At 39.4% G+C, this 13,401-nt stretch overlaps 1 pseudogene, besides 1 other annotated feature; it reads left to right on the forward strand.

Annotated features, from left to right (window-relative positions):
• On the forward strand, positions 3,232-5,619 carry HSPD1P8 (heat shock protein family D (Hsp60) member 1 pseudogene 8; annotated as a pseudogene).
• Positions 6,841-7,341: an enhancer, noted in NCBI's record as "H3K27ac hESC enhancer chr13:79426863-79427363 (GRCh37/hg19 assembly coordinates)". NCBI's record gives its function as "activates a minimal SCP1, AML or CMV promoter by ChIP-STARR-seq in primed H9 embryonic stem cells {active_cell/tissue: H9 hESC(primed)}" and the evidence as "EXISTENCE:reporter gene assay evidence [ECO:0000049][PMID:30033119]".

The following is a 13,401-nucleotide window of genomic DNA, read 5'->3' on the forward strand; positions in this document are numbered from 1 at the left end:
GATGTCAGGGACACAATATAAAGAAACTATACAAGGAACTTCACTGGTCTTTCTTTCCTGCCACCTCACACTTGATGTTCTCCAGGCTTCTGTGTTTGACAAACATCTGTGAAAAGTAATGTATGTGCTCAACTCTATGCTGATCTCTAGGTCTAGAATGATAAAACAATGTCCCTGCACTCAAGAATCTTGAGGGACTGTCAAAAATCAAGTGCCATGTGGCCATTCTTGCTTAAGGTCATAAGGCAGAGCAGCGCACAGAGGAAGAAGTAGTCAGTTCTTGTGATTTCAGATCATCTTGTGGTCTCACGTGAGCTAAATGATCTCATCTATTTTGTTAAGCTCAAAGCTATTTTGTTAATATTTACTTCCCACCTGAGCCAACACTAATGTCCCAAAGTGAGGGAAAAAATTACAGATAATCTAGGTTAAAACATGCTTGGGACTGACTATTCTGAAGGTGACATGATCATAGGTCATAACTGCCCTTATTCTTCTAGCTCATGCAGGCTCAAGCACAGGGCTGTTTGATGAACTCAGGTCCCAAGCACAGATAATGGAGAGACATAAATACTTCTTATAATGAAATATACTCATTAGGAATTACAAATGATTTTTTTCAGTGACAATGTTTATCACATATTGTTTATCATTCCTTTTCCTTCTGCCACTTTTATAAGAAGCTGATCACACTCTGCAGGAAGGTACTATGTCTTGTTTATCATGTGCTCCTTACCCCATACTAAATGCCCAATATGTGTTTGTTGACTTGAATGAAACCAACCTAAAGTATAACTGAGTTTTAAAAATGTGACCCATGTTGAAAACTTGGCAATATAAATCTAAGTGTGGAAGTGAAACCATTTCATTTTGAATATTGCAATGACTTTTTTCAATTCTTTGAGGACAGAGGCTATGTCCTCTTCATCTTTGCATTTTCAGTGGCTAAAATATTACTGAGTGCATAGAGGGTACTTATTTAATGCTCACTGAACTGAGTGAAATAGAATTGAATTTTTTTGCTAGTCTATAGCAAATCATTAGTACCTGGGCAGCCTTCTACTTCATGCAAACCATTTGCAAATCTTTACTGTCTACTCTCCTATTTTTAGAAGAAAGCAAACAAATTGACTTTGAAGTAATTTCCTCAGCTTTCCCCCATCTAACCTATTAGATAACTTCTAGATGTGCCTCGTTCTCAGCATCAGCACAGATCTTATCTTGGTATCATTCTTGGATTTTGAGTTTTAAATTATTTACTTTAAGGGAGTAAAAGATTTACAGTAATAAAATTATTTGTTGGAAATGAAGGAGGCTCTCACTTACAGAACAAGGAAGTAACCCCCCAGACACAAACATAAAAGTCTCACAGGCTGAACTTAGCTGAAAGCCCTGTTGATGAGCTTTAAGGGAATTTGAAACCTGGCATAATAAAATCACACCCCTGAGTTTTGCAGGAATGATTACTGCACTGTAATATGTATTGTACTCAGATACTTAGATTAAAGATATATTTTTATTTTTATTTTGTTATCAATTATGCATCCAGAAGAGAAATTTTATTACTAATGGAACCATTGAAATAGATACCTAGAGGAGTGGATGGATCACTTTATTTCTTGTCAGGTTCTATATTAGGCTTTCCAAAGCCCATTAGAGTATTTGTCTACTATTGTTATCGTTGTGGAGTAGTGTACCTGGGGGAAATCTGTAAAGGGGAATGAATAGGCCTGAATTCTATATCTGATTCTGACTTTCCTTGCTGTATATTTTTAGACAAGTAACCTTACACCAGTACCTGGTCCATTCCACAACAGGGGAATATCTCATTTAGATTTTCATACCTAAGACATTACCTTATTTTCAAGTAAACACTATCAGTTTTTTTTTAACAGAGGCATAATTTTATCTTCATGTTAGTTATTGGACTGGACATATAGTTGAGAAAATAGAGCTACTTTTTGCTCAAGGCTTAAAAGCTGTGAAATGGTGGAACTGGCATTAATAATTGGCTTTGGAACATTTGTAGCCAAGGTACTTTTCTCTTGCTTTGTAATTGAGCAACTTGAGATTTATGAGTGAATGAAATGCCTAACTTCTGGAAGGACTCAAGATCTGATTTCAAAAGAAATGATTTTAAAACATTTCAGCTCTTGAAAAATCAAATGAAGAATTAGGATAGTGGTTCTCAAAGTGTGGTCTCCAGACAAACAGCAGCAGCATTACCTGACAACTGGTAATTGGTAAGAAATTACCTGACAACTGGTAAGAACTGATGTTCTCTGTTCCCACGCAAGACCCACTGCATCAGAAACTCTGGGGGTAAGGTCCAGCAAACTGATTTAACAAGACTTCCTGTTCTCTAGGTGATTCTAATGCCTGCTCAAATTTCTGAAGCACTGCTAGGCATAGGGAAAGACTTTAGACCCTGTAAAAGGGTGAATGTGCTTTAGAATTTCTTATTTCCAGCCGTGTGATGACCAACGTAGAGGTCAACTATGGGAGAAAGTACCACTTTCAGACCCAGATCAGGTCAAAAGCAGGATGGGGCCTTTAAGAACCAGTAGCCCCTGGGGACTCTAGGACCAGCACAGAGCACCCAGCTTTTCTGAGAAATTTCGGGACATTGGAGCTCTTCAGGTTGTACACTTAGCCTTCGCAATTTGAATGTGGAGGCGTTGCTATAATCAGAATCTGGTTTGGGTTGGAAGCTGTTTGGGATTTAATGTTTATCATCTGAGGCCTAGAAACAGACTTGCTTCACTTGAAGTTCTCACTAAACAATAACTCACATTGTTCTGGAGTTCTCACATAACAGTAAAGGCATTGAGCTCATTCAAGTCCAAGTATAACAGAGTCACTTTGGGCAATATTTTTTTGCACTTCTTTGAGCTGTGACTTTCCCTAACTGAGAAGTGGGTATATTGATATGTATTTGAAGAAAAACTTTGAGATTGAAGTTAGAAAATGTTTGTGAACTCACTTCTGAGTTGTAAAGAACTTTAAAAATGTAAGATATGAATGAGTAGAGGTGGTATGAGTTACTACATCTCAAATAGGATCAGATAGCAACATTTTTGTGGCTTCAAAAGCAGCACCATTTGTTTATTAACATTATTTTGCTTAATAAAGCAGTATTCTTAATTATGGCAAAATTTAGAAATAATTCTATGGAATGTGATGAAGCTATTTTCACTTTGAATTAAAAAAAAAATGGGCCCTACACTCTGTCCCTCACTCACTGCCAATGACCTGTCTCACTGTGCGCACGCCCCGCTGCAGCCCTGCAGAAATGCTTCAATTACCCACAGTATTTTTTTTTTTTTTTTTTTTTTTTGCCAAATAAGACTGGTGTCCAGGGTACTGAAGCCTCATCTTCCTCAGGCTGATGCCAAAGATGTAAACTTTGGTGCAGATGCCCAAAACTTAATGCTTCAAGGTGTAGGCCTTTTAGCCAATTCTCTAGCCATTACAATAGGGCCAAAGGGAAGAACAGTTATTATTGAAGAGAGCTGAGGAAGTTCCAAAGTAAAAAAAGATGGTGTGACTGTTGCAAAGTCAATTGACTTAAAGGATAAATATAAAAATATTGGAGCTAAACTTGTTCAAAATGTTGCTAATAACACAAATAAAGAAGCTGGGGATGGTATCACCACTGCTACCATACTGGCATGCTCTACTGCAAAGAAGGCCTTGAGAAGGTTAGCAAAGGTGCTAATCCAGTGGAAATCGGAAGTGTGTGAGGTTAGATGTTGATACTGTAATTGCTGAACTTAGGAAGCAGTCTAAACCTGTGACAACCCCTGAAGAAATTGCTCAGGTTGCTACAATTTCTGCAAAGGGAGACAAAAAAAAATTGGTAGCATCATTTCTGGTGCAATGAAAAAGGTTGGGAGAAAGGTTGTGCTCACAGTGAAAGATGGAAAAACATTGAATGATGAATTAGAAATTACTGAAGGCGGCCGGGCGTGGTGGCTCACGCCTGTAATCCCAGCACTTTGGGAGGCCGAGGCGGGCGGATCACGAGGTCAGGAGATCGAGACCATCCCAGCTAAAACGGTGAAACCCCGTCTCTACTAAAAATACAAAAAATAGCCGGGCGTAGTGGCGGGCGCCTGTAGTCCTAGCTACTTGGGAGGCTGAGGCAGGAGAATGGCGTGAACCCGGGAGGCGGAGCTTGCAGTGAGCCGAGATCCCGCCACTGCACTCCAGCCTGGGCGACAGAGCGAGACTCCGTCTCAAAAAAAAAAAAAAAAAGAAAAGAAAAAAGAAATTACTGAAGGCATGAAGTTTGATTGAGGCTACATTTTTCCATGCTTATTAATACATCAAAAGGTCATAAATGTGAATTCCAGGATGCCTATGTTCTACTGAGTGAAAAGAACATTTCTGGTGTCCAGTCCATTGTACCTGCTCTTGAAATTGCCAGTGCTTACCTTAAGCCTTTGGTCACAATTGCTGAAGATATTGATGAAGAAACGTTAAGTACGCTCATCTTGAATAGGCTAAAAGTTGGTCTTCAGGTTGTAGCAGCCAAAGTTTCAGGTTTTGGTGACAACGGAGCCAGCTTAAAGATATGGCTATTGCTACTGGTAGTGCAGTGTTTGGAGAAGAGGGGTTAACCCTAAATCTTGAAGATGCTCAGCCTCATGACTCAGGAAAATTTGGAGAGGTCATTGTGGCCAAAGATGATGCTATGCTATTAAAAGGAAAAGATGACAAAGCTTAAATTGAAAAATGTATTCAAGAAATCATTAAGTAGTTAGATATCATAACTAGTGGATATGAAAAGAAAAAACTGAATGAATATCTGGCAAAACTTTCAGATGGAGTAGCCGTGTTGATGGTTGGTGAGACAAGTGATGTTCAGGTGAAAGACAAGAAAGACAGATTTACCGATGTCCTTAATGCTACAAGAGCTGCTATTGAAGATGGCATTGTTCTGCTTCAGTGCATTCCAGCCTTGGACTCATTAACTCCAACTAATGACGATTTTTTTAAGTGGTATAGAAATTATTAAAAGAACACTCAAAATTCCTTCAATGACCAATGCTAAGAATGCAAGTGTTGAAGGATCTTTGATAGCTGAAAAAATTATGCAAGATTCCTCTGAAGTTGGTTATGATGCTATGATTGGAGATTCTGTGAATATGGTAGAAAAAGGAATCATTGACTCAACAAACATTGTGAGAACTGCTTTACTGCATGCTGCTGAGGTGGCCTCTCTGTTACCTACCGCAGAAGTTGTAGTCATAGAAATTCCTAAAAAAGAGAACCCTGGAATGAGTGCAATAGGTGGAATGGGAGATGGTTTGTTCTAATTCCTAGAATAGTGCTTTACCTTTGTTATTGAACTGTGACAGGAAGCTCAAAACAGTGTTCCTCAACAATAACTTTAGAAGTCAGGTGAAGAAAATGACTGAAGAGAAGGCTGGCTGAAATTTAAGAAAATCACCATAACCATCAGTTACTGGTTTCAGTTGACAATATATAATAATTTACTGCTGTCATTGCCCATGCCTACAGATAATTTATTTTGTATTTTTGAATGAAAAAACATTTGTACATTCTTGATATTGGGTGCAAGAGCCATGAACTAATATAGTGCTTTCAACCTAAATCACTGAGACGTTTTTACAGCCATTCTATTAAAATCAGGATTTTAGTGCTTGCCATCACCAGATGAGAAGAAGCAGCCTTTCTGTGGAGAGTAAGAAAAATTGTGTACAAAGTAGAGAAATATCCAATTTTGTGACAGCCTTTGCGTAATAAAAATTAGTTTAAAATTTTAAATAATGCAGCCTGAAGATATTTTTAAATTCTCCAAATTGGCTCTCATGCAAAAAAGGCTTATTCAGTACTTTTAAGGACCATTTGAATCATGGGTAAAGGATTATGTTAGATGCTGAGTGAGTATTTAAGACATAGTAGTTGACATTTGCTCACTGCCCACCATAGCCAGCTGACAATTAGGTAAGAGGGGCAACTCTTCTGGAGCACTTGAGTCTAGAAGAAAAGAGTGGCCAGAAAAAGATGTCCTAGAAAAATGGATATTAAGCAAACACCTGAAGAAAGAATCCTTTGTTTGTATTCCTGAGATGGTAATCTGTGAGTCTGCTGTGAATATAAGCTGGGTACACTGCCAAAGAACAGGGCAAAAGGAGTAGTAGCCTTATTTCTGTTCTAGCTCACTAGAAATTAAGAAGATGTCTCAGGTCAAAAAATAAAAATAAATGAACCAGTAAATAAGCTGTAAAGTTCAAGAGTATGAAGAGCAGTTTAAATTCAGTAACACTAGGTGGCAAATATGAGAGGGAAAAAGGCTGATTGTTAATTGGGGTTCGGAGTTCTAAAAACTTCTATTACAAAATAGGTTCAGGGAGTGAGAACATCAGCAAGATGGAGAAATAGAACTCTCCAATGCTTGTTCCCTGAAGAAACATTAATGCAAACAACTATCCACACACGGAAATATCTTTCCAAGTGCTAAAGAAACCTGGTGAAGGACAATAGTGTCTGGATGTAGCACAGAAAGAAAAGACGCATTGAGGAGAGTAGGATGGACATTAGCCACATTGCCCATTCTTCAACCCTGGACAGCACGGCATGGAGACAGATACTGCCTAGGAGAGGAAGAAGGAAGTGAGCACAGGACTGTGCCTCAGACTCCAAAACCAGACCCTCCTCAGTAAAATCTAGCACTGATCTGACTCCATGACCTCAGACTTGAGGCCCCTACCCAAGGACTGGGCCTCCAGGCCAGCACTAGAACCAGGCAAAGTCCCCCACCAGGCTCTAGGCCTTCCCAGTGGACTTGGTCTCCAGGCTGCCCCACTGCCAACCTGATTTCAACAACTCCAGGGTCCAAACCACCCCTAACAGTGAAGTGGCCCCCATGGACCCAGGCTTCAGGCCGACCTCAGCACCAGACCAACACTTGCAGTCCTAGTCATCAGACTGGCACCCCCAGACCCAGCTTCCAGGCCAGCTCCTGTAGGTCCTCACTCCAGCAGACCCAGGGTTCAGGCTGCCCCAATAGATTCCAGCATCTGACCAACCCCCATGGACCCAGGCTCCAGGACAGCCCCTGTATACCCAGGTAAGTGGCTATTCCCAAGGCCCCAAGACCTAGGGCAGCCCTCATGGGCCTATCCTCTAGGCCAACACCTGCATACCCAGGCTCCAGGCAAACACTAGTGGACATAGGCTCCAGGCCAGTACCAGGGTCTAATGCACTAAACCAACACCTGTAATCCTAGGCTCCAGACTGTGTCCTGTGGACCCAGGCTTCATACCAACTACAGCACTGAGAAAACCCCAAGTGCCAGGCTGGTCCCTGTGGTCCCAGGCTTCAGATGACCCAGAGTCTAGTGCTGTACCACAGATCCAGGGCCCAAGCTCAACCCAGTAGACCCCAGTAGACCCCAGTACCAGGCTAGACCACATGGACTGAGGCTGCAAGATTACCCATGAAGACCAAAGTTCTAGGCCAGCAACTGTGGGTCCATAGCCCAAACCCATCCCCACAGACTCGAGCTCCAGGCCCACTCCAACACTGAGCCAGCCTCCATGGACTCAGGCTCCAGGTCTATTCCATGCAAGATCAGCCCCCATGGATCCAGGCTTTATGCCCAACCCGCAGACCCAGGCACCAGGTTGCCTACCTGCTGACCCAGGCACCACACCAGCCTATCTCAGGACTCCAACAGCAAGCTTACCTTCAGATTATGCCAAATGGCCTGCCCAGAATCTCTAGGCAGGCTGCCTGAAGCAGCTTTTCCACACAAAGCCAGTCTGCAAAGACTGGAATAAGTCCTCACTTTCTGAATGTGCAGTCATCCATGTAAGGTAACGAAAACACAAAAAACCAAGAAGATATAACAAAACCAAAGAACACACCAAACAATAATCTCTTAGTAGCTGACCCACAAGAAATAAAGATATATGGACTGCCTGACAAAATATTCAAAACAACTTTTTTAAGGAACATAGGACAACTTCAATAAATACTTAAAAATCTTCAATAAGATCAGGAAAACAATAAAGTACCAATACTAAAAATTAACAGAGAAATTTAAGTTATTTAAAAAAATAGTAATTCTGGAGCTGGAAAATACAATGAATAAAATAAATAATGCAATAGTGAGCATTAATAGCAAAATTGATCAAGCAGAAGAAAGAACCTATGATTCTGAAGACCGGTTATTGGAAAATATAAAGTCAGAGAAGAAAAAAGAATGAAAAGGAATGAAGTAAGATTATAAGATTGATGAGCAAATGTTTGGGTTATAGGAGTTTGTGAAGGAGAAGAGAAAGATAAAGAATTAAAGTGTTTATTTAAAGAAATATTAGCAGGAAACTTTCCAACTTTGGAGAAAGATATAAATATCTAGGTACAGAAATGTCAAAATTCTCTAATCAGATTCAATCCAAACAAGATTACGCCAAGACATAATAAAATAAAGCTGTCAAAACTCAAGGAAAGAAAGAGGATCCTGAAAGTATCAAGATAAAAGAAGCAAATAACATATAAGGAAGTTCTAGTACACATAGGAGTTAATTTCTCAGCAGAGGTGTTACAGGCCAGGAGAGAGTGGGATGATACATTAAAAGTGCTGGAAAGAAAAAAAAACTGCCAAGTAAGAATACTGTACCTGAAAAAGGTGTGGTTCAGAAATAAAGGAGAGAGAGTTTCCCAGAGAACAAAGGCTGAGGGAGTTCAGTCACACCAGAACTGTTTACAAGAAATGCTAAAAGAAGCACATCAGCCTGAAAAAAAAAAGGATACTAAAGAGTAACACAAAAACAGCTGAAAGTATAAAACTCACTGAAAAAAGTATATACACAAATTCAGAATACTTTAATACTGTAAAGGTGATGTTTAAATCATTTATATCTTTACTATAAAGCTGAAAACACAAAACTATTAAAAATAATAGCTATAGTGATTTATTGTGGTATATACAACATAAGAACATGTAAATTACAACATCAAAAATTTATTTTATTTTATTTTTTTACTTAACATTTTTTTTTATTATACTTTAAGTTTTAGGGTACACGTGCACAACATGCAGGTTTGTTACATATATATACATGTGCCATGTTGGTGTGCTGCACCCATTAACACGTCATTTAACATTAGGTATATCTCCTAATGCTATCCCTCCCCTCTCCCCCACCCCACAACAGTCCCCGGTGTGTGATGTTCCCCTTCCTGTGTCCATGTGTTCTCATTGTTCAATTCCCATCTATGAATGAGAACATGCGGTGTTTGGTTTTTTGTCCTTGGGATAGTTTGCTTAGAATGATGGTTTCCAGCTTCATCCATGTCCCTACAAAGGACATGAATTCATCCTTTTTTATGGCCGCATAGTATTCCATGGTGTATATGTGCCACACTTTCTTAATCCAGTCTATCATTGTTGGACATTTGGGCTGGTTCCAAGTCTTTGCTATTGTGAATAGTGCCACAATAAACATACGTGTGCACGTGTCTTTATAGCAGCATGATTTATAATCCTTTGGGTATATACCCAGTAATGGGATGGCTGGGTCAAATGGTATTTCTAGTTCTAGATCCTTGAGGAATCGCCACACTGTCTTCCATAATGGTTGAGCTAGTTTACAGTCCCACCAACAGTGTAAAAGTGTTCCTATTTCTCCACATCCTCTCCAGCACCTGTTGTTTCCTGACTTTTTAATGAATGCCATTCTAACTGGTGTGAGATGGTATCTCACTGAGGTTTTGATTTGCATTTCTCTGATGGCCAGTGATGATGAACATTTTTTCATGTGTCTGTTGGCTGCATAAATGTCTTCTTTTGAGAAGTGTCTGTTCATATCCTTCACCCACTTGTTAATAGGGTTGTTTCTTTTTTTCTTGTAAATTTGTTTGAGTTCATTGTAGATTCTGGATATTAGCCCCTTGTCAGATGAGTAGATTGCAAAAATTTTCTCCCATTCTGTAGGTTGCCTGTTCACTCTGATGGTAGTTTCTTTTGCTCTGCAGAAGCTCTTTAGTTTAAGTGGATCCCATTTGTCAATTTTGACTTCTGTTGCCATTACTTTTGGTGTTTTAGACATGAAGTCCTTGCCCATGCCTATGTCCTGAATGGTACTGCCTAGGTTTTCTTCTAGGGTTTTTATGGTTTTAGGTCTAACATTTAAGTCCTTAATCCATCTTGGATTAATTTTTATATAAGGTGTAAGGAAGGGATCTAGTTTCAGCTTTCTACATATGGCTAGCCAGTTTTCCCAGCACCATTTATTAAACAGGGAATCCTATCCCCATTTCTTGTTTTTGTCAGGTTTGTCAAAGATCAGATACTTGTGGATATGTGGCATTATTTCTGAGGGCTCTGTTGCGTTCCATTTGTCTATATCTCTGTTTTGGTACCAGTACCATGCTGCTTTGGTTACTATACCCTTGTAGTATAGTTTGAAGTCAGGTAGCGTGATGCCTCCAGCTTTGTTCTTTTTTGGCTTAGTATTGACTTGGCAATGCAGGCTCTTTTTTGGTTCCATATGAACTTTAAAGTAGATTTTTCCAATTTTGTGAAGAAAGTCATAGGTAGCTTCATGGGGATGGCATTGAATCTATAAATTACCTTGGGCAGTATGGCCATTTTCATGATATTGATTCTTCCTATCCATGAGCATGGAATGTTCTTCCATTTGTTTGTATCCTCTTTTATTTCATTGAGCAGTGGTTTGTAGTTCTCCTTGAAGAGGTCCTTCACATCCCTTGTCAGTTGGATTCCTAGGTATTTTATTCTCTTTGAAGCAATTGTGAATGGGAGTTCACTCATGATGTGGCTCTCTGCCTGTTATTGGTGTAGAGGAATGCTTGTGATTTTTGCACATTGATTTTGTATCCTGAGACTTTGCTGAAGTTGCTTATCAGCTTAAGGAGATTTTGGGCTGAGACGATGGGGTTTTCTAGATATACAATTATGTCATCTGCAAACAGGGACAATTTGACTTCCTCTTTTCCTAATTGAATACCTTTATTTCTTTCTCCTGCCTGATTGCCCTGGCCAGAACTTCCAACACTATGTGGAATAGGAGTGGTGAGAGAGGGCATCCCTGTCTTGTGCCAGTTTTCAAAGGGAATGCTTCCAGTTTTTGCCCATTCAGTATGATATTGGCTGTGGGTTTGTCATAAATAACTCTTACTATTCTGAGATATGTCCCATCAATACCTAATTTATTGAGAGTTTTTAGCATGAAGGGCTGTGGAATTTTGTCAAAGGCCTTTTCTGCATCTATTGAGATAATCATGTTGTTTTTGTCATTGGTTCTGTTTATATGATGGATTACATTTATTGATTTGCATATGTTGAACCAGCCTTGCATCCCAGAGATGAAGCCAACTTAATCATGGTGGATAAGCCTTTTCATGTGCTGCTGGATTTGGTTTGCCAGTATTTTATTGAGGATTTTTGCATCGATGTTCCTCAGGGATATTGGTCTAAAATTATCTTTTTTTGTTGTGTCTGTGCCAGGTTTTGGTTTCAGGATGATGCTGGCCTCATAAAATGAATTAGGGAGGATTTCCTCTTTTTCTATTGATTGGAATATTTTCAGAAGGATTGGTACCAGCTCCTCCTCGTACCTCTGGTAGAATTCAGCTGTGAATCCATCTGGTCCTGGACTTTCTTTGGTTGGTAAGCTGTTAATTATTGCCTCAATTTCAGAGCCTGTTATTGGTCTATTCAGAGATTCAACTTCTTCCTGGTTTAGTCTTGGGTGGGTGTATGTGTTGAGGAATTTATCCATTTCTTCTAGATTTTCTAGTTTATTTGCATAGAGGTGTTTATAGTATTCTCTGATGGTAGTTTGTGTTTCTGTGGGATTGGTGGTGATATCCCCTTTATCATTTTTTATTGGGTCTATTTGATTCTTCTCTATTTTCTTCTTTATTAGTCTTGCTAGGATCTATCAATTTGGTTGATCTTTTTCAAAAAACCAGCTCCTGGATTCATTGATTTTTTGAAGAGTTCTTTGTGTCTCTATTTCCTTCAGTTCTACTCTGATCTTAGATATTTCTTGCCCTCTGCTAGCTTTTGAATGTGTTTGCTCTTGCTTCTCTAGTTCTTTTAATTGTGATGTTGGATGTCAATTTTAGATCTTTCCTGCTTTCTCTTGTGGGCATTTAGTGCTATAAATTTCCCTCTACACACTGCTTTGAATGTGTCCCAGAGATTCTGCTATGTTGTATCTCTGTTCTCATTGATTTCAAAGAACATCTTTATTTCTGCCTTCATTTCGTTATGTACCCAGTAGTCATTCAGGAACAGGTGGTTCAGTTTCCATGTAGTTGAGCGGTTTTGAGTGAGTTTCTTAATCCTGAGTTCTAGTTTGATTGCACTGTGGTTTGAGAGACAGTTTGTTATAATTTCTGTCCTTTTACATTTGCTGAGGAGTGCTTTACTTCCAACTATGTGGTCAATTTTGGAATAGGTGTGGTGTGGTGCTGAAAAGAATGCATATTCTGTTGATTTGGGGTGGAGAGTTCTGTACATGTCTATTAGGTCCACTTGGTGCAGAGCTGAATTCCATTCCTGGATATCCTTGTTAACTTTCTGTCTCGTTGATCTGTCTAATGTTGACAGTGGGGTGTTAAAGTCTCCCATTATTATTGTGTGGGAGTCTGAGTCTCTTTGTAGGTCTCTAAGTACTTTCTTTATGAATCTGGGTGCTCCTGTATTGGGTGCATATATATTTAGGATAGTTAGCTCTTCTTCTTGAATTGATCCCTTTACCATTATGTAATGGCCTTTGTCTCTTTTGATCTTTGTTGGTTTAAAGTCTGTTTTGTCAGAGACTAGGATTGCAACCCCTGACTTTTTTCGTTTTCCAATTGCTTGGTAGATTTTCCTCCATCCCTTTATTTTGAGGCTATGTGTGTCTGCACGTGAGATAGGTTTCCTGAATACAGCACACTGATGGGTCTTGACTCTTTATCCAATTTGCCAGTCTGTGTCTTTAAATTGGAGCATTTAGCCCAATTTACATTTAAGGTTAATATTGTTATGTGTGAATTTGATCCTGTCATTATGATGTTAGCTGGTTATTTTGCTCGTTAGTTGATGCAGTTTCTTCCTAGCCTCGATGGTCTTTACAATTTGGCATGTTTTTGCAGTGGCTGGTACCTGTTGTTCCTTTCCATATTTAGTGCTTCCTTCATGAGCTCTTTTAGGGCCGGCCTGTTGGTGACAAAATCTCTCAGCATTTGCTTGTCTGTAAAGGATTTTATTTCTCCTTCACTTATGAAGCTTAGTTTGGCTGGATATGAAATTCTGGGTTGAAAATTCTTTTCTTTAAGAATGTTGATTATTGGCCCCCTCTCTCTTCTGGCTTGTAGAGTTTCTGCCGAGAGATCAGCTATTAGTCTGT

Source organism: Homo sapiens, chromosome 13, assembly GCF_000001405.40.
Source record: "Homo sapiens chromosome 13, GRCh38.p14 Primary Assembly".
Lineage (NCBI taxonomy): Eukaryota > Metazoa > Chordata > Mammalia > Primates > Hominidae > Homo > Homo sapiens.